Source organism: Homo sapiens, chromosome 18, assembly GCF_000001405.40.
Source record: "Homo sapiens chromosome 18, GRCh38.p14 Primary Assembly".
NCBI classification, from domain to species: Eukaryota; Metazoa; Chordata; class Mammalia; order Primates; family Hominidae; genus Homo; species Homo sapiens.
In genome coordinates, this window is record NC_000018.10 from 26,937,160 (window position 1) to 26,958,059 (window position 20,900).

General features: G+C 40.0%; 1 protein-coding gene and 1 pseudogene across 5 annotated transcripts in view, besides 2 other annotated features; both read right to left on the minus strand.

Annotated features, from left to right (window-relative positions):
- CHST9 (carbohydrate sulfotransferase 9) overlaps positions 1–20,900 on the minus strand; it is a 278,828-nt gene that overhangs the window by 30,679 nt on the left and 227,249 nt on the right. For 4 of the 5 annotated variants that reach the window (NM_031422.6, NM_001398493.1, XM_047437881.1 and 1 more), the window contains one exon: positions 7,170–7,207. The exons of the other annotated variant lie outside the window; for it this stretch is intronic. In NM_031422.6, coding sequence (NP_113610.2) covers positions 7,170–7,207 — 38 coding nt within the window. The remainder of the gene's footprint in view (positions 1–7,169; positions 7,208–20,900) is intronic. 5 annotated transcript variants of the gene reach the window in all.
- ATP6V1E1P2 (ATPase H+ transporting V1 subunit E1 pseudogene 2) lies at positions 14,846–15,409 on the minus strand (annotated as a pseudogene).
- Positions 19,401–19,988: an enhancer, noted in NCBI's record as "OCT4-NANOG hESC enhancer chr18:24536524-24537111 (GRCh37/hg19 assembly coordinates)". NCBI's record gives its function as "activates a minimal SCP1, AML or CMV promoter by ChIP-STARR-seq in naive and primed H9 embryonic stem cells {active_cell/tissue: H9 hESC(naive and primed)}" and the evidence as "EXISTENCE:reporter gene assay evidence [ECO:0000049][PMID:30033119]".
- Positions 19,989–20,575: an enhancer, noted in NCBI's record as "OCT4-NANOG hESC enhancer chr18:24537112-24537698 (GRCh37/hg19 assembly coordinates)". NCBI's record gives its function as "activates a minimal SCP1, AML or CMV promoter by ChIP-STARR-seq in primed H9 embryonic stem cells {active_cell/tissue: H9 hESC(primed)}" and the evidence as "EXISTENCE:reporter gene assay evidence [ECO:0000049][PMID:30033119]".

Here is a 20,900-nt window from a genome sequence, read left to right on the forward strand (position 1 = left end):
ATACTTTTTTCCCCTCTGAGTTTTTAATCTCTTTTCAGGTGACAAATAGTTTTCTCTTAGACCAGATTCACTTTATTTTTCACTTACTTAATTAAAAAAGTAATTTACCGCTCAACAGGGACCCTGGAGTATATGTATGCTCATCTTCATGGTTAAAACACTTTGAAAAAAGACATACCACATCATAAAAATCTGTATTCCAGGGTCTCAGAACAGACTGCTTCAGTATTGGTGTCAGAATTGGGGGATTAATTAGGGTGGTCATAAGTGAGATCATTTAATTAATAGAACAGCTTCCAGAAGAGGTGGGAGTGTAGTATAATTGTGGAGAGAAAGGAATTCAGAATGAGATACACCTGGATTCACATTTGAGGGCTGCCACTCATCAGCGGAGTGCCATTAAGGAAAGATATTTAAAGCATCCCAGAATAGTGGCTGTTGCTCACACTGTAGATAGCATTGGATTGCCTTATTTAATCCTGGCATGACCACTTATGCATGCATGATTTTAGACGAACTAATTCGCCTCACTAAGATGAATCTTTTGATTTGTTCCTACTTCGCAGGGTCACTGTTGTGAGGTTTAAGAGAGATAATTTAATGTAAAATTTAGCATAATGCCTACACACAAAAAGCTTGTCAAGCATTTAATAATAATACCGACCATTATTATTACTAATGTCGTGCTAAATGTGGCAGGACCTGAAAAATTACTAAATCTGATTTCAAGCCTGAGTTTCCACCTGTATAAAGTGGAGATTAAAATCCTGGTCCTCACAGGGTTGTTGTAACAAAACATGAGATATGGAGCACTGAGTGATTAGCACAATTATTGATGGCAATTATTCAGAAGCATTGAGTGCTTGAATGAGAGCTGTCTGTATATTTGATTGTGAATAGTTCTCACAGTGTTTATTCCAACCACTATTTTCTTCTTGGTGGTCATGCTTTTAAAACATCTGAAGGCCATATTCTCAGCTTTGCTTTGTCTTGTCAATCTAGATACCTTTCCACAGGTACCCTTCACATTTTAACTTTCTTGGCTTCCAATTAAAGAGGCAAAGCCCAGCACTTCGACATTTACACTTAAGTATTTTCTAGGTAGAAGCCATCTGACCTTTAAAAAAGACATCTTTTATAAATTCTTCTTTGTTAACCACCATTAGTGTCACCACTTTTCGATCCTTTCAGTCCTTCTTTCAGGATTTTGAAAAAGACTCGTAAATTGGATAGCTTTTCTAAAAGTGCAACTCTCTCAATTCTGAAGGTAATCTTAAAAGGGAATTAGGGACATGTGGGATCTTTACTAGCTCCATTAGTGCCAAACTTGCAAAGAGAAACTATCTTTAAGTCAAAATTGTCTCCTTGAGTGCGTGGCCATTTTGATAAGAATAGTGCAAGGTAATGCAATCCCACTTTAAATTTAGAAGTTCTAAAGTTCACACTACACTGAAAAGTCATCAGTGAGTGGCACTGCCATGCTTACATTAGAGGAAAGAATCAGGTACTCAAGTCTTGAACCAGGCAAACCATTTAATGTTCTGCAGGCAATATGGATATGGACATACAGGTAAAAAGAAGATCTGGATCTCCCTGCCCTTCAATTCTTTCATTTCCTGACTGTGTGACCATTATTCATAATGACCATGTGCAGTCTTGGCTTGTTCCTTCTGTTTTTGGTTTAGAATCCTTACCTGGGAGGGGAAGGAAGGATACCTTGTTCCTGCCTTATAAGAATCAATGACACAGCAGGTTTGAACATTCCGGTGTATAGGGAGTAGACTCTAAATTTAGCAGCCCCTCTAGCTACTAGAATAAGAATTTAGTGATCTGAAGAATTTACATTCTGCCAGCAGTTGATCGAGTTCTTATGATATGCAAGGCCCAACGTTGGACATGGAAATGAACCAAACACAATCTCTTCCCTTTAGGGCAATACTAGGTAGTTTCAAAAATCATGTTGGGATATAAATGATTAGAATATAGGGTAGAAAATATCTATAGCAAAAGGGCAGAGAAAATAAAATGGGGTCATGGAAGAGAGTGAGATTATTCTTGGCTATGTGATAAAGGAAAGCTTCATGGAGAAGGTAGTATTTGAGTTAGGTCTTATATGAGTAAATTTTGTACATGAAGAGAAGGGGATTAGTACGTTGATGAAATAGTTTTATAAAGAACCAACAGTTTTATATAAAGGAGTAGAATGGGAAATAAGTCTAGGAAGGTGGGGAGAATCCTCTCCAAAGGAGTACAAGATCCCAAGGCTTTGTATTTCATACTCCAAGGTTAGAAACGTATTGTATGGCTTTCCATCAGAATCACATATTGAGTTTTTGAAATTGCAAATGTCTGAGCAGGATCATTCCCAACATTTGTGGGGCCTAGAGCAAGAGCATGAATGGAGGTCCACATACTATATGTCGAACTATTTCAAAGTGTTAAAGGAAGCTGCACCCAAGACCTGGTCCTTGTTCCCATCCAAGGGACTGCTTTGGGACTAGGAGGCTTAAGAAGCCCTGCTGTCCCTCAAGGCCATCCTGCACTAGAGGCCTGATTCATTGCTTGGAACTTCACGGGGGAAACAGGACGGACCCTGGACTTAGCCTGGGGACTCGTGGGCAGGGCCTGCATCTGCCCCCATCAAGGATGGAAATGACTCAGTCCAGGTCTTCTGGTTACTGAAGGAAAAGGTTCTCCTACCTCATGTTTTACTTTTCTGATTCCAGATTACCAGGAGGTTCTAAGCACCAGGTGAAACTATACTCACCCACTCCATACCCCCTCCCCAAGCAGAGGGGAAGGTAGAAGTACAGTTACCTGGGGAACACAGTCTGCCTATATATCCTCCCACTTCAGGGGCTACTGGGTGGCTATCCAGAAACTAAAGCATCCCTTCTTTCTTTGATTTCACAGGGCCCACACAGCCTGACCTCTCTCAATAAGGGGATTTCACTCTTTTTTTGGTCTATCCCATTTGCCCAGATGACCCAGTTCAGCTGCTATGTTCCTTTCCATGTTTTGTGTGCTCTCAATTGGTCATGAAACTTTAAAACATGAGACTCAGAAAAAAAAACCTGTCTTTGCATGACTGTGTTTGTGATGCTTGGAGACTCCTAAAGCCTGTGACCTTTCTTGGTCTCGTCTGAGGGTTGTGCTGTGTCTTAACCCAAGTCTAGAGCTACTGACCCAGAATGTCTTGGGGTTAGGATTGGAGATGGGGTCTCAGGATCTGTGTTAACAAGTTTCAGGGGTGACTATAATGCCCAGTCAGGGTTAAAATCACTGTTAACAATAGGGGAGGTTTTTCTACTTAGTTTTTATTTCTCAGCAAGATGATATTTTAAAAAGCAAACTGCAGGAGAATGGAAGATGAATAGAAAGGTGGTGAGGCTAACAGGAGAGCCTCAGGAAATCACCGAGCAAATGAGACAAGGGCCTGGATGAAGCAGGGGTTATGGGTGGAGGTGAGAAGCTGGTTGGGAGAGGTCAACAGGAGATCCCATCAGAAGTGCCCAGTGCTCAGAGGGAGTGATGGAGTCGAGGATGACTCTGAGGTTTCCGGCTTGTTATGGGTCATATTATGTCCCCCAAACAGATATGTTGAAGTCCTAACTCCTAGTACCTAAGAATACAACCTTGTTTGATAATAGGGTCTTTGCAACTGCAATTAAGTTAAGAGAAGGTCATTGAGGGAAAGCCCTAAGCCAAGATGGCTGGGATCCTTATAAGAAGGGGAGGGACACAAAGGGAGGGCAGCCATGTGTCCACAGGGGCAGAGAGTGGAGTGATGTGGCTGTAAGCCAAGGAATGTCAAGGATTGCTGGCAAGCACTAGAAGCTAAAAAGAGCAAGGAAGGATCCTTCCCTACAGGTTTCAGAGAGACTATGGCCCTGCTGACCCCGTATTTTGTATGTGAGACAATACATTTCTGTTGTTTTAAGGCACCTGTTCATGGTACTTTGTTTTGGCAGCCCTAGGGACCGAATACAGAGCTGTAATGGCCTGCACTGGTGTTGCCTCTCTCTGCACTGGGTCATCAGTGAGGGCAAGCGTTTCTCGTAGACAGCACCTGTCTATGAATGTTCTCCACAGCATAGACATCCTCTGCACCAGAAACAGAGCCTCATATTCGGTGTTCCTCTTTGTTATCTAGCTGCACAAACACAAGGTATTAATTCACTAAGGGTTTCAATTATCTGCTATATAAAAAGGCATAAACATAAAAGGTTTTAATTGTCTTTTATATAATAAGGCAGTTTCCAAAAATTAAATTAGGATTTTTACATTTAGTTTTCCCATTCTCATGCTGACCATATTTTAATTTGATTTCGAAAGCATTTTTGGTAATATTTTAAAGTATTATCTTTCATCTAGTATCATAAAAATTATTTAGAAAACCTATAGAAGATTTCATCTCTACAAGTAACATTTTTCAGATAGGAAATGATTGCAGCATTGAACTGCCAAAGAGACAGCTGAAAAAAAAAATGGGTCATGCATTCATCCCATTCTAGAACAGAGGCTGCCAAGCAGTTCACTGCTCATTTTTGTCCTGTTCTCGTAAACAAGCTGCGTTAACAAGTTACTTTTAAAAAGCATACTAATTTCCCCAGTGAATTGCACAGGAAAGAATCCAGCGTTCCCTCCAGAGGACTCAAATAGTTGTTTGTTCTCAGAGCTCAGGTGTGGTAAAATAGCCGTGGGCTAAAAGCACAGGCTGGATATTGGCCAGCAGGCTAGAGCTTCCCCTCCACTCCTGATTTCTCACGTTGGTGAGAAACTCATAGCCTGCCTGATGTGGGGGGGAGAAAAGACTCGATTTTCAATTTCAATTTAATTACACAATCCATAGTGCCTAATGGGAAGGATTTAGCGGCAAGATTAATGCTCAGCAGCGCTCCATTTTGCCTTTTTTTTTTGATAAAAAATACTGTATGGATTATCTAAAGTGGGTTTTCAAAAATGTTTTTCAAGAGCCAAATTATTTTGGTGGCATAGTGATTTGAAAAAGAAGGTGACTTTATTTCTTGACTCTCTGCCAGAGTTTATATAAATTAGAGGTATAAGATACCTTTTTGAATTGTATTGCCAGTGTATCATTCTTGAGAGTGGGGAGCACTTCTTTACTTGGGAGAAGAATGAATAGAAATTTCACTGTAGGATTAGAAATATAAGCAATGATTGAAGGAGACGACGATCTGTTCTGAGAATGACTGTAAAATTAAAATATTAAGACCTTTCCCTCTTCAGTTAAATCCTAAAGAATTTCACTCTCTTATTGAGACTGAAAACCATTATAATTTTATATGGCATCAGATCAATATTTAAGATTATGAGTAAATATTTGGCATTCTATTTTGGTGTCTACATATTTTGTTAGTTTTGCTAAACGTAAAAAGAAGCTAAAATAGGAAATGGAAATCTACCCATGAGAAGTGACCTTAGTATATTTTTTGACCAATTGCTTTAGGTTGTTAAGTTAATAAGGGAAACAGGTAGGTTGTTACATTTATAAGGAAAACAGGGCTTTTTATAAGGAAAAGTATTCCTATATGATTTAAATAAATAAAAATAGCAGCAGTAAACTTTACTGGCTAACCATTGCTGAGCCTCACCAAACCACTTGAGCACATACAAATAATTTTAAATGAAGTAATAAAGAAACTAAGGGCCGGCGTGGTGGCTCATAGCTGTAATCCCAGCACTTTGGGAGGCTGAGGCAGGCAGATCATGAGGTCAAGAGATCAAGACCATCCTGGCCAACATGGTGAAACCTGGTCTCTACTAAAAATACAAAAGTTAGTTGGGCATGGTGGCACACGCCTGTAGTCTCAGCTACTTGGGAGGCTGAGGCAGGAGAATTGCTTGAACCTGGGAGGCGGAGGTTGCAGTGAGCCAAGATTGTGTCACTGCACTCCAGCCTGGTGACAGAGCGAGACTCCGTCTAAAAAAAAAAGAAAGAAACTAAGTTTAAAAGGCAAATGAACTATTTGAAATGGCCAAATGATTTTGCTATTTCACAATGATGGCATTTTCAAGTATTAAGAGAGTTGCTACTACAAGTCAACATGTACAACAGTATTTAAAAACAAAATGGCACCTGATTAAATTTTGGCTACTGAATTTGAAAAATAGTATATTAGCCAAATGGGTTGACTATTTTGAAAGCTTGATGAGTTACAGGGCATCTGGCACAGATTGGGTAAAACTAGAACTTTATTGGGATGGACTGACAATAGGAACTAGAATTGGAATTTCTTTTGGAGTGCACTTAGAAGGTTGAAAAATGCACCTTTGACTGGTATAAGTGTAGATTTACCACCCTTCTCTTTGGTAAGGGTAAGCTGTAATTTATGCCATTGAAAGGAAAAAAGAAGGAAGATATGGAAATGTGTACCTATGGGTGAAACCCAAGCATATTTTTCCACAGGTCAATGTCTGCATTCTCTGACTCTAGTGGCACAGGCAGGGTTTGGAGAAACTGTAGCTAAGCTGGCCTGGGGAAAAATTAGGTGGGTGGGGCAAGATATGCTTTTGGGGAAGGCCTCTCTTTGTTTGTGTGGCTGCAGGTCTCAAGCTCCTAAAACAGTTCTATAGAAGGACACCATCTACCTAGAAATACAAAAATAGATCAGTAAGAAGATGGGATAAGAAAACCATGATGCAGACAGGAAGATGCTGGCCAACTGTGAGTAGAAACAAAAGACCAGAATGGAAGATCAACTTGTGGTATATAGGGGGCCAGTTCTTAGCTGTTTGGGAGGCAGTGACTTTTAGCTGATTGAACGAAAACCTGAGAAAATCACGGAGAGTCACCTTAGTTAAGGGAAAAGTAGATGGAAGTATCTATTTGCTGCCATGATAGTATCAATACAGAGGTCACAATAAGGTCACAGAGATACTTGCAAGTTAGAACTGGCAGAGTCTCATTAGTCTACTGTTTCCTGTTTGGATAGGATGTGGTTGGGAAGGACTTGGCTTGGGAGGAGACAAAGAAAGCGCATGGTCATCTACATATGACCAAATATGTTTTTTTCCCCAGAACCAATAACATATATATTGCTCATAACTAACAGCTAACATTACCCCCTGCCTTTTTTATATTTACACATGTTTATTAACATTGAAACAAAATTCTATATTAGAGTTTACGAGAAATGAGAGAATACCTGGTTGGTGATATGTTCCTGGATTTTTTCTGTACTCACTGAAAGAGAAAGCAAAAAGAATTTTTACATTAAAGCATGAAAATGAATAAAATGCGGTACTGATGCTGCTCTGTTTACAGTAAACACTTCCAAAGTGGTCATGGACTCTCTGAGCAAGGATTTCTATCACAATGTGGATGTTTACAACCACTTCAATAACTGGGGAAAAAAAGCCAAAACCTAAATAAACTGTGTTAGGCAAAGATAACAGAAAATGGAGTGGAAATCCAATAAGGGTGATACCAGCAGAATGTATTAAACTTTCACAGATAAATGATGAAGAGATGAAAAGGACCGAAGAAAAATTTGAACAACAGCCAGTCAAAACAAAGTTTTCCAAACAATGACAACCTATTGAAGTATAATACTAATACTGAGCTCAGGGAACCCTGAGAACTGGACAAGGAGATTTGAGGTGGCAGATGGCAGCAGTGCTACTTCAAAAACATTTCTTACGTGGGAAGTGATAAAGGCAATATTATACTTTGTTGTTATGGTACTGCCAGAGATTGAAGTACAAACCAACAGTTCTATAAATTGTATCTTGATCAGGATGAAAAACATGCAGAGTAATGTATGACAGGCAACCAAGGGACATAAAAAATAAGGATTCTAATATAATATATTTCTCTGTCATTGTGAAAATAGCCTGAAAGTGATCAACGTTATGTATGTCTTAAGTAGAGGAAAATAAAATCCTTAGTAGTAATAAATAAAAAACAAACCATGAGAAAAGAAAAGAGAGAAGACATTTAGTGGCATCACAGTTATTATGTGTTTGTGAACACCTTAGTGTGTTACAAACATTTTATTAAATGTGTCCCTTTTAAAAAAACAAACTTTAATTTTAATTGAAATAACTGTTGAGTCACATGTAGTTGTAAGAAATAATGCAGAGAGATCTCTTGTACTTTTTACCCAGTTCCCCTAATGGTAACATCTTGAAAAGCTATAGTACAATATTACAACCAAGGTATTAATATTGATAGAAAGAGTGTTTTCCTTACCACAAGTATCTCCCCTTTTGTCCACTACACTACATCACTCCCCTCCACCTCCATGCTTTCCCTAAACCCTGGCAACCACTAGTCTGTTTTCCATTTCTGTCGTTTTGTCATTTCAGGAATGTTATACAAATGAATCATAAAGCATAGAGCCTTTAAGGATTGGCTTTTTTCCTCGGCATACTTCTCTGGAGATTCTTCCAGGTTGCTGTGTGTGTCAATGTGGTTGGTTTCTTTTTATTTTTGATATATTCTGTGGTATGGATGTGCCAAAGTTTGTTTAGCCATTTACTCGTTGAAGGATATCTTGGTAGTTTCTAAGTTTTGACTATCATGAATAAAGCTGCTATAAACATTTTTGTACAGGTTATTATGTGAACATAAATCTTCATTTCTCTGGGATAAATGTCCAGAAGTGACATTGCTGGGTTATATAATAGTTGTAGGCTTAATTGTTTGAGAAACTGCCAAACTGTTTTCAAAAAAAGATGTCCCAAGTGAAACTTACTGGCCAATTAGTCAACCAATAATAAGTATACTTAAAAATTTTGTTAAGTATTCAGTACCAAGCTCCATGTCATATGAGATACAGTAGAAGTGTAAGGCGTATAGGGGAAATTGAATGGTGATGTTCAGAGTGGGCTATTTCATGGTGTCATTGTTAGGAAATGCCTGATGCCTGGGGCCAGTCTCAGACTCGCCAGATAATAAGAATCAATTTTCTTCATTTTTTTAAGGGCAATCTCAATCAGATACTCTTGATATGTTTTAGATTTCTTTTGTCAGTTTATATGCGGAGTGTTTAAAGAAGAGACAACATGGCTTGTGGGAAAAGGTTGGCCTTTTAAATTACAGATCACTGGTGTTTAAATGTGGGCTCCCCAAAGAAGTGACATTTGAGTCAAAACCTGAAAGATGATAAAGGAGTTAACTTGACCAAGAAGAGGGGGGAGAACTTTCAGGCAGAAGGAAGAACATGACAAGGGCCATGTGATAGGAGGGAGCATAGTGGATCCAAGGATAGAAAGGAGGCCAGCATGGCAGGTGTGGAGAGGTGAGCAGGGCATAGTGTGAGAGAGGCTACACAGATAGGCAGGAAACCCTGCAAAGAAGTCAGGTAGACCATTTTTGGGAAATTTAAGATCCTCTCAAGAACAGTGGGAAACTGACCATTAAGGGGATTCAGGCAAGTGCACAGGTAGTGACATCAGAATAGCATGCACAGCCTATGTCCTGAATGGTATTGCCTAGGTTTTCTTCTAGGGTTTTTATGGTTTTAGGTCTTACGTTTAAGTCTTTAATCCATCTTGAGTTAATTTTTGTATAAGGTGTAAGGAAGGGGTCCAGTTTCTGTTTTCTGCATATGGCTAGCCAGTTTTCCCAACACCATTTATTAAATAGGAAATCCTTTCCCCATTGCTTGCTTTTGTCAGGTTTGTCAAGATCAGATGGTTGTAGATGTGTGGTGTTATTTCTGAGGCCTCTGTTCTGTTCTGTTGGTCTATATATCTGTTTTGGTACCAGTACCATCCTGTTTTGGTTACTGTAGCCTTGTAGTACAGTTTGAAGTCGGGTGGTATGATGCCTCCAGCTTTGTTCTTTTTGCTTAGGGTTGTCTTGGCTATATGTGCTCTTTTTTGGTTCCATATGAAATTTAAAGTAGTTTTTTTCTAATTCTGTGAAGAAAGTCAATGGTAGCTTGATGGGGATAGCATTAAATCTATACATTACTTTGGGCAGTGTGGCCATTTTCACGATATTGATTCTTCCTATCCATGGGCATGGAATGTTTTTCCATTTGTTTGTGTCCTCTCATACTTCCTTGAGCAGTGGTTTGTAGTTCTCCTTGAAAAGGTCCTTCACATCCCTTGTAAGTTGTATGCCTAGGTATTTTATTCTCTTTGTAGCTGTTGTGAATGGGAGTTCACTCATGATTTGGCTCTCTGTTTGTCTATTATTGATGTATAGGGATGCTTGTGAATTCATGACTAAAACACCAAAAGCAATGGCAAAAAAAGCCAAAATTGACAAATGGGATCTAATTAAACCAAAGAGCTTCTGCACAGCAAAAGAAACTTTCATCAGAGTGAACAGGCAACCTACAGAATAGGAGAAAATGTTTGCAATCTATCCATTTGACAAAGGGCTAATATCTAGAATCTACAAAGAACTTAAGTAAATTTATAAGAAAAAAACAAACCCCATCAAAAAGTGGGCAAAGGATATGAACAGACACTTCTTGAAGACATTTATGCAGCCAACAAACATATGAAAAAAGCTCATCATCACTGGTCATTAGAGAAATGCAAATGAAAACCACAATGAGATAACATCTCACACCAGTTAGAATAGCGATCATTAAAAAGTCAGGAACAACAGGTGCTGGAGATAATGTGGAGAAATAGGAATCCTTTTACACTGTTGGTGGGACTGTAAATTAGTTCAACCATTGTGGAAGACAATGTGGCGACTCCTCAAGGACCTAGAACCAGAAATACCATTTAAGCCAGCAACCCCATTACTGGATATATACCCAAAGGATTATAAATCATTCTACTATAAAGACACATGCGAACGTATGTTTATTGCAGCACTGTTCACAATAGCAAAGACTTGGAACCAACCTAAATGCCCATCAATGACAGACAGGATAAAGAAAATGTGGCACATATACACCATGGAATACTATGCAGTCATAAAAAAGGATGAGTTCATGTCCTTTGCAGGGACATGGATGAAGCTGGAAACCATCATTCTCAGCAAACTAACACAGGAACAGAAAACCAAACACCTCATGTTCTCACTCATAAGTGGGAGCTGAACAATGAGAACACATGGGCACAGGGAGGGGAACATCACACACTGAGGCCTTTCAGGGAGTGGGGGACCAGGGGAGTGATAGCATTAGGAGAAATATCTAATGTAGATGATGGGTTGATGGGTGCAGCAAACCACCATGGCACATTATACCTATGTAACAAACCTGTGTGTTCTGCACATGCATCCCAGAACTTAAAGTTAAAAAAAAAATATCATACACAGATTTGCATTTTTAAAAGACCACTCAACTCTGGTTGGCAACTGAAACACTGACTCCTCAGGGTGTCAGGGGTGGCAGCAGCACTACAAAACCTTAGTTTTGTTTCCTTTGGGACTAAGAGAAATCTGCAGAAATTGAAGAGACAAATAAGAGCCAAACAATAAAATATTCACACCCTAATAATGCAGCAGCCTACTGAACTCTAGAAAATGGACTAAAGGACAGCATGGTATCTAATAGCAGCTCTGACAATTACTAGGTGTTTGAACTGGGGCTAGTTACTTTAATGCTCTGGCTTGTTTGCCTATCTATAACAAAGGGTTAACAATATCCACCCTTTCCCAAATTTGTGAGGATTGAATGAAATAAGAACGAATTTTGCAGGTAAAGGATAAGAGAGGGGCACTCCAGGGAGTTGGGGCAGGACAAGTAAAGAAATCTAAGAGGCAGGTAAGTGTAGGGTGTGTGTGGGTGAATCGTGAGAAGTTCTGAGCGGCTTATGTAATACACGCATACACTTTAGCAGGTGTGGGGATGGAATGTGGGAAGAGGGAAGGGGCCCAGCCTTTGGAGATTGTGACTTGGGGTGATATTGGAGGCTTTGCAGGCAGAAGGAGGCCAGCAAAAGTCTTTCAGATGAGGATGAGGTGGCCAAAGCAGTTCTTGAGAAAGATGAATTGAGTGGTGGTGTGGAGACGGGTTGAAGGGGTAGTAGAGGTGGGTGGTGAAGACAGCAATGAGCATGTGCTGTGTCCAGGCAGAAGGGGTGCGGGCTTGAGCCCAGGCAGTGAGAATGGGAAGGGAGGGACGCCAGGAGCAGGTGGTATTTCTGAAGTAGGTTCTGGAGATTGATTGAATGTGGGAAATACAGGAGCAAGAAGCAAGGACAACACTCAGGTTTTTATTAGGGAATCTGGCAGATGATAGCATTATTAAAGATACAATGAGAATACAGCAAGACCTCATCTCTACTTTTTTTTTTAATTAGCTGGGTGTGGTTGCATGTGCCTGTAGTCCCAGCTACTCAAGAGACTGAGGTGGGAGGATTGCTTGAGCCCTTGAATTCAAGACAGTCCTAGAAACATAGTGAGACCCTGTCTGAAAATAAACAAACAAACAAACAAAAAGATACAATGGGAGAAGGAAAAAAAATGAAGAGGAAGTTAATAAGTGAGGCTTGTGCCTGTAATAAAGAGGAAGATACCTGTAGGTTACAGAAGCTGACATGACAATTACGGCAGATTGAATAATGGCCCCCAACATGTCCACATCCTAATCAGCCTGTGAATACGGGACCTTTCATGACAAAGGGACTTTGCAGATGTGATTCAGTTAAGGATCTGTGGATGGGAAGCTTATCTGGACACAGCCAGTGTAATCATAAGAGTCCTTATAATAAAGGGGCAGGAGAGTTTACAGCAGAGAGAAGGCGAGGTGGCAGTAGCAGCAGGGGTCGGAGTAATGCCATTGCTGAAGAGGGCTGTGAGCCAAGTACTGTGGGCAACCTCTGGAAACTGGAAAAGGGAAGGACATAGATGACTCCTAGAGCCCTGCAAAGGAACGCAGCCTTGCTGATACCCTGATTTTAGTCTGGTGAGGCCCATCTGAACTCTGACCTTTAGAATTGTAAGATGCATACATTTGTGTTGTTTTAAGCCACAGAGTTTTTGGTGATTTGTTACAGCAGCAAAAGGAAATGAATTCAAACAAGTTCTTATGCTTTTTCTCAGCTGTTCCTCAAGGTACGGGGAGGAAAGCACACTGCTGCTGAGTAACTGCTGTGCCCTGGGCCTAGGCGACATACCTCACAGACATTATGTCCTGAAAAGTAGAGATTATTCCTCCTATGTTTTTAAAGATTATGTGACCAGGGCTCAAATACATGCAGAAACTTGTCCAAATTTTCATGGTCTATGGGTGAAAGGACAGCCAGCATTCTAAGGAACAACATAGCTACTCTTAAGACATAGAAAAGCAAACTTTCATTATATAAAAAAGACATATGAACATGCAGGTTTTTAGCAGCACAATTCGCAGTTGCAAAAATGTAGAACCAACCTAAATGCCCATCAACCAGTAAGTGGATAAAGAAAATGTGGTATATATACACCGTGGAATACTACTCAGCCATAAAATGGAATGAAACAATGGCATTTGCAACAACTTGGATGGAGCTAGAGGCCATTATCCTAAGTGAAGTAAGTTAGGAACAGAAAACCAAATATCACATGTTCTCATTTATAAGTGGGAGCTAAGCTATGAGGATGCAAAGGTGTAGAAATGATGTAATGGACTTGAGGGACTCAGAGGGAAGGGTTGAGGGAGGGTGAGGGAGAAAAGACAACATATGGGGTACCGTGCACACTGCTTAGGCGATGAGTGCACCAAAATCTCAGAATCACCACTGAAGAACTTATCCATGTAATCAAGAACCACCTGTTCTGCAAAAATTATTGAAACAAAATTTTTTTAAAGCTAACTTTCAGGATAAAACTAGTCTTTTTTGTCTCATATTTGGGTCTTATCCCTCCAGCTTTTGGTTAGAGGATTAAAGAGGGAAAAAATAAAAAAATTGACAAAGTTGTCTGACCGGCAGATTAAGTGGAGAGTCATCCCAGATTTCTTAAATTTTAATCTCATTATGTCTTCACAAAACAAAGCAGAATAAACTGCAGAGGCAGGTTGCGCACACTGTTGGCTCATCTTATGATGAAGGTGGTGTTGAGACACTTCTGTGCATTCATGAGCTTCAGGAATAAAATTTGTAGAAACAGCCCTAACCCACTATCATCAACATGGGTGGGGAAGGACCTATTTCTCTAAGATTTATAATTCCAGGACAACTGCCTCAAATTCTCCAAACTTTGCAGTGAGACTCACTAATTCTTCTCATTGTAAGTTGCTTGATTAATCACCCCGAACTGATTAAAATTCTAGGGAAAGTTATTTTGCTGCCTAAACAGTTTAAAGCAGTGGTTCTAAACCTCTTTCAGGTAACAGGCCCCTTTGAGAATCTAAGAGCAGTTATGATTCTGCATTTCAGAAAAATGCCAACACACAGGAAAAAAGGGAAAATGGCAGGAGGCTAATAGACCTTCTTCAGCCATGCATAGATCTGCAAGAATCTATCTGTTGCTCAAAGTCTTTTTGTTTTTTTTTTGGTCAAAGGGATTTGGAAAATACTTCTTTTCTAGGTATCTCAGTAGGAACTTTACTCTCTCAAACCATAAATTTGTAGTGCCTTACATAAAAAGTTACAATTAAATCAACATAAATCTTTTGTTTTAATAAATAAAGCACATTCATGGCTTAGATTTTAGATCACATTTATAGATGAGGAAAATTTCTAGGCCCAAACAGTAACAGTGAAGCTACTACTGCTGGAAGGAATAATGTGCCACCTGTGTCTTAAATCTCAAGAGCAGAGACTTCAGGGCAGAGAACACCATACACATCACCTCTAGACTAGGTTGCTGGGAGCCAGAGGAAGATCTTGGTGAAGTGCATGCAGCCACCATCTGCTCCCATCACCTAATGCTGCAGAACCAACTGGAGCTGTGCTACTTTGAGATAAACTAGAGGTGGGTTCCTGATCATATTACATGACACTCTCTCCCATTGTTAGCAATTAGGCAAGGACATTAGTGACAGAGGGGCATCCACTGAAAAAGACAGAGCAATACTCGAACAGCAAAGAGGAAGCCACTTAGACATTCTTGTTTCTTCAAATATCAGAAGCTTCCACATCATAGCAGGAGGGCTAGGGATGGACTTCACCTCCCAAAAGCTGTTGGCATTTGGACCAAACAAGGCTCCCCGGACTTCTGGCATCATCTGCTGGCCTGAGATCCAGTCGGCTTTTCAGGGTGTTGGAAACCTTTATTTTACAATCCCCATTGTGGATCTCAACTCCACCAACTATGTCCTCAGGCAGGTAGGACTCCTGGGCAATTGGGACATCAACAATTGTCTGTGGTGGGGATTTTGTACATAGAGACTGCCTTTGCACCATAGTTTTTACCGGAGGGAAATCTTATTTCCTGCAATGAACAGTCATTTGGGGCTCTGACAATTGGTATAAACCCTGGAGGACCAGTCCATCCAGCAGCACTTGGTACCTGGGTGTATCTTTTACCACCTTGTGAAAGTTTATTTTGAACCATAGGCTCTAACGTGTGAAATAATTTCTTGGATGTAGGCTTCTCTGGGTAAGTTACTAGTCCCTCAGAACTACAGACTCATTAGCTGTGTAGTCATTTTCTCTAACTTAAGAACTAAAAATGTAAGTTTAATATCTTACAGTATAGTATATTCATTCCAAAAAATATAATACCTTCACTGTGTCAGATACCTCCTAAGTGCTGGGCATGCAAAGATGATACAGCAGGGTGCTTGCCCTCAAGGAGGTCAGGGTCAGGTGGCAGAGAGAAATAAGTGAAGATAAACTGCAGTGCCTCCTGAGAAGTGTTTTCATAGAGTTATGGTTAGCAAGCTGTGGGCACACAGATGGGGAAAACCAATATGATTGGTCTTGGGAAACAAGTAGGTTTCCCAGAGGTATGCTGTCATTAATCACTGCTATACTCCCTTTTAACTCATGCAGGAATATGTCTTGAACAACCAGGGACCATGATTTTAATTGATTTATTATTAGCCTTTCACTTCTTGGAGTTCAAGAATATCTCTTGAATATGGATATCTAAGTATCTGTATTGTACTATCTATTGGATATCTCTTTTGCATGTCTGAGCAAATTCTAGAGATATGGTGAGTTTAAGAACTTAAAAATAAGTTCAGAGATAGGACCTGTCTTTGTAACAGGAATCAGAATAATTAGAAGGTGGAATTTGAATTAGGTCTTCAAAAATGGATGGAAGTTGGGGAGAATAATGGTGATGACTACCCTAACTAGGGGAGAGGGTTTAGAGAGAAACAGCATTGCCCAGGCAGGTCTGGGTCAATTGCTTTATGTTTAAAGCGATAGACAATTTGGGGGGCAATTATGGTTTTTTCAGCAGAGGTGGGTTATAAAGGAACATTAAACTGGTAAATAAATTGCTCAGAGTAGGGGGAGAAATTGGAGAATATCTAGGAGGCATTGGTGGGTTGCACAAAGTAAGTGATGGGTTGGGGCCTAGACTAGGGAGGTAGAAATGAGAAGGAAAATGAAGAAAATCAAAGACAGCCTGTTGAAGAAATGTTTGAAAGAAATTGGTAACAAATGAATACAGGGAATAAAGATTAGAAGGAGTTGTACCTGACTTTATTCATTCATTTATTCCAACAAATACTGTTTGATCAGCTGTCAGGTGTCATGTATGGATGGGTACAAAGTTCTGGAGACCCAACTGTGAACAAGACCATTGCTCCCAATTAGCCTGCTCCTTTCTCCCAAAGAACTGGTTGGCTCTGTTCTCCCCTTTTCCATGACATTGTCTCTTTCTGTACTATCACCTACATTTAGCATGACCACTTCTGTAGGGGTGCTTGAACTGTTTTGAAGGTGCCACATGTGAAGTCTTGAAATGGGGCAAGGAAAAGAAGATGAGATTATGAATCTATTCCTCTTTCCTGGGGTGCAAATACGCCCATTATAGATCTGCACATGTAGAGTAATTTCATATTCCAGAACTGTGGAGTTCTGGAGTATCACATCCCCCTCTTTTCACCATCAAATTGTATTTTAATAAGGAATCTGAGAATCTGGGAAAGAGGGCCAATATGGTGATCTGAAACAGGGCAGATTTGGTCATTCAGCAGACTGGGGCCCTGTCCTTACCTCTCAAAGAAGCATAGAGAGGAAGCTATTGCTTATGAAAAGGCACAGGACGAGGAAATAGCTCAAGGGGCCAATGACAGGGTGGGGAACAGGGACTCAAAGAAGTCCATGGGTAGCAGGACAGTGTGTCAGTGTCTTCAGAATATATCTACAATGCATGCTGTCTAACCACAGTCCCCAATTTGTTGAGCCCATCAACATGTCTCCCCTGGACTATGCTGTTAGCCTTCTGGGGTCTCCCAGTTGCCACTCTGGCTCTCTCCAAGTTCCTTTCTTCATCTTGTAGGCCTTGCACCATCTGCTTCTTTCCTACCACCTCTACAACCTTGCCTTGCTGTCTGTTTCCCTTCCTTTCTACCCTCCATCTACTCTGGTCTTATGTTCATTTCTGGTCCTTTTTGGCCTCTTGTCTTTTGCACATGCTGTTATCTTCTCTCTCCAATTTTGCAGGTCTGGTTCTTTCATATTTTTCAAGTCTCACTTTAATATTAAGACGTCAGGAGTTCTTCCCTGGTCACCCCATCTCTTCTTGTGATTCTTGATCTCAGCCTATTGTTTCTTTCATAGCACTTACCACAAACTTGCAATTATTTTATTTGCAGGTCTGGTTACTTTTTTGCTTGTTTCCTATTCTATAATGTAAGCTCCTTGAGGCCAGGGACTACATTCATTTTGTTTATTGTATCCTAAGGACCCAGCTCAGTGATACTGAGACCACTATCAATTATTCCATAAATATATGTATTGAACACCTAGAGTGTTCAATATATATATTGATCTCAGTGGGTGAAGCCTTGCACTAGCCTCCAACATATTGAGGGCAGCTGCTCCTGGCCCTGGTTTGCTCATGAAAGAAAGGGTACATGGGTTAAAAATCTTTAGATGGATGATATTAGGGCCTGAGTTTGACTGCTGATGAATTCTGGGCCATATCAAATGCTTTGTTTGTGATAGCAGCCCTTTTCATATTCGTTCCCAACTGATTTTCCAAAATGTTTAAGCACCTCAATAACAGGAATTACACCAGAATTCTGTTTTTTTTTTTTTTTGTATTTTACACATCTATACCATCATAGTTCTGTATTAGGAATACAGTGTGCTCCAAATTATGGGAATTGAGGGGAAGGACTGAGAGTTAATTCTACATAACTTACAAGATCATGATTTGCAATTTTCCTGATGATTAACCACATTATACTTGTCCTTTTAGTTTGAATTTACCCAAATTTCTACCATTTTTCCACTAAACTATTTACTCAAATAGTTTTTTTGGGGCACAGCTGTGGTAAATATATGCACTTTCTTTTAATTACTTTGTGCAGTGTGTGTAGCAAGGAAGCCTTGGGTAGGCTGGACAGCACAAGTGCAGGCTGAAATTGAGAGCCCAGGCACTGGAGAAGAACCCAAGACACAAGCTTGGGGTGTGTCTGGGGATGACAAGAGAGGCTGGATACAAGTTTCCTTGGCAAAAGGTCAGAGGGAGTCCAGCATTCATGACATCTGTCCAAATAAGGAAGAGGCAGGTGATTACTGGTGGTAAGGAACATATCCATGCTTTGGAGGGACTTGGGTACCAGGTCATGTACAACTCAGGAAAGAAGGCAGGAGCTCAGCTGCTGGGGGCCTGAAGGGTAAAGCAAGGGCTGATTCAGAAGGTAACAGGGCAATCTTCCAGTGACTGAGGTCACGCAGTCAGTTGAGGATCAGGGGGACTCAGGAGCCACATAGTTCATTTCTGTGAGTTATAGCCATTTAAATATGAGAAAAAATTACCTCTTCCCTTGAGCTAGTAAAATTCCAATAAATTAAAATATATAATTATAGCGCCAGGTGCAGTGATTCACGCCTATACTCCCAGCACTTTGGGAGGCTGAGGCAGGTGGATCACAAGGCCAGGAGTTTAAGACCAGCCTGGCCAACATGGTAAAACCCTGTCTCTACTGAAAATACTAAACCCTGTCTCTACTAAAAATTAGCTGGGTGTGGTGGCGCACACCTGTAGTCCCAGCTACTCAGGAGGCTGAGGAAGGAGAATTGCTTGAATCCAAGAGGCAGAGGTTACAGTGAGCTGAGATTGCGCCACTGAACTCCAGCCTGGGCGACAGAGTGAGACTCTGTCTCAAAAAAAAAAAAAAAATATATATATATATATATACACACACAATTATATCATATATACAAATATACATATATCATATATAATTATATCTATATATATATACACAATTATATAATCACTAGGACCACAAAAATAATATAATTGTGTACATATATACAATTATATATATAATATACAATTTTTTATATATATACACACACACAATTATATTATTTTTGTGGTCCTAGTGGTTATGATTCTGCTAATGATAATGTTTGTCTCTTGCTTATGGATAGCCTTAGCCTGGTGGAGATGACAATATTCTCTGGCCTATGCAAGAAAAGAGGAGGGAATCCCACTTAACGAAAACTTAAGTCATTCTCAAATTTATTCAAATCATACTTGAAAAGGCGGAATGAAATTTAGGGGGATATGTTTTAACTATATAAGCCTTTGCTAATAAAAGATTAAGAAGTATGTGGCTTAGCATCTTTTAATTATTTTTTTCTAGCAACTTGAATATACAATGTTTGAAATCTCTGGTTGGATCAACATTATTTTGCTCAGAGGTTTGTGGACTTTGCATACTGATTCTTTCCTGTTTCCAAGTACATTTGCTTTTAGGCTATTTTTATTCACTTTAAAGGAATTTTAATAACTTTCTGTTGACAGCATGGACAGCTGGTCTTGAGAATTAAAGAAAATTCACTTGCTGACTGAGGAAGGAAGTGACATCAATGAGCTTCTAAAGTCAGCCCAGCGGGGGAAATTGGCTGGTGAGAGAGTAGCCTTTCATTGCACTGTATTTATCGAGCGATGCCTTGAGATGCAAATTGCTGTATCAATCAAACCTGTGGTGCCTACCTCCAACCAACCCAGTGCAAACTGAAGGAACAATGCCCTGAAACACTGAGAATAAAAAGGATGAGGGGTGCAGGAGCCCAGAGGCTAAGTGAATTACGGAGCTCAGAATGCTCTCTCACCAAGCCTATACTTCATTCTCTGTCAAACCTCAGTTTCTTTGTCTAGAAAATGAGTTTTATGGAAACTGTTGGTTGAAGTCAGTCTGTTTCTTTGACAGATGGCTAAGAGGACCAGGTACTAATATAGATAGTGTAGACATGCTATCTCAGTACGTTTGTCCCAAAGAGAGCTATCAATTGCTTTTTATCCCCTACTGAGAGCTATTTAGAAATAGGAATTTTTAGCTGTCATACTTAGCTACTACCTTGATCCTTTGTTTTAAAACCCTGTATTCATTGTTTATAACTACACTGCAAAAAAAAAAAAAAATAGCCAAGCATCAGATCTGGACTTTAATAACGACAATAGCAATCACAATCATCATCGTCATAATAAATGACAATTTTCACCACTATCAGAGAATCTTCTTCTGGAGTTGTAGTTACCTATTTTGCAAAGATAGCTGTGGTGTGAGTAGATTGTGTGTGTATGTGTGGGTTATGTTGGGTGAACAGGCAGGTATGTATGCATATACTCACACCTGTGCAAAAGAAAGGTAGAAAAGTGCCTAGGTACATTTTATGTTTATGACATGAAAAATTACATTCTACTTATTTCTTTCTTTCTTTTTTGTTGTTTTTGTTTTCTTTTTTTAGATGGGGTCACTCTTTGTCATCCAGGCTGTAGTGCAGTGGCACGATCTCCACTCACTACAACCTCCGCCTCCTGGGTTCAAGCAATTCTCCTGCCTCAGCCTCCTGAGTAGCTGGGATTACAGGCATGCACCACCACACCTGGCTAATTTTGT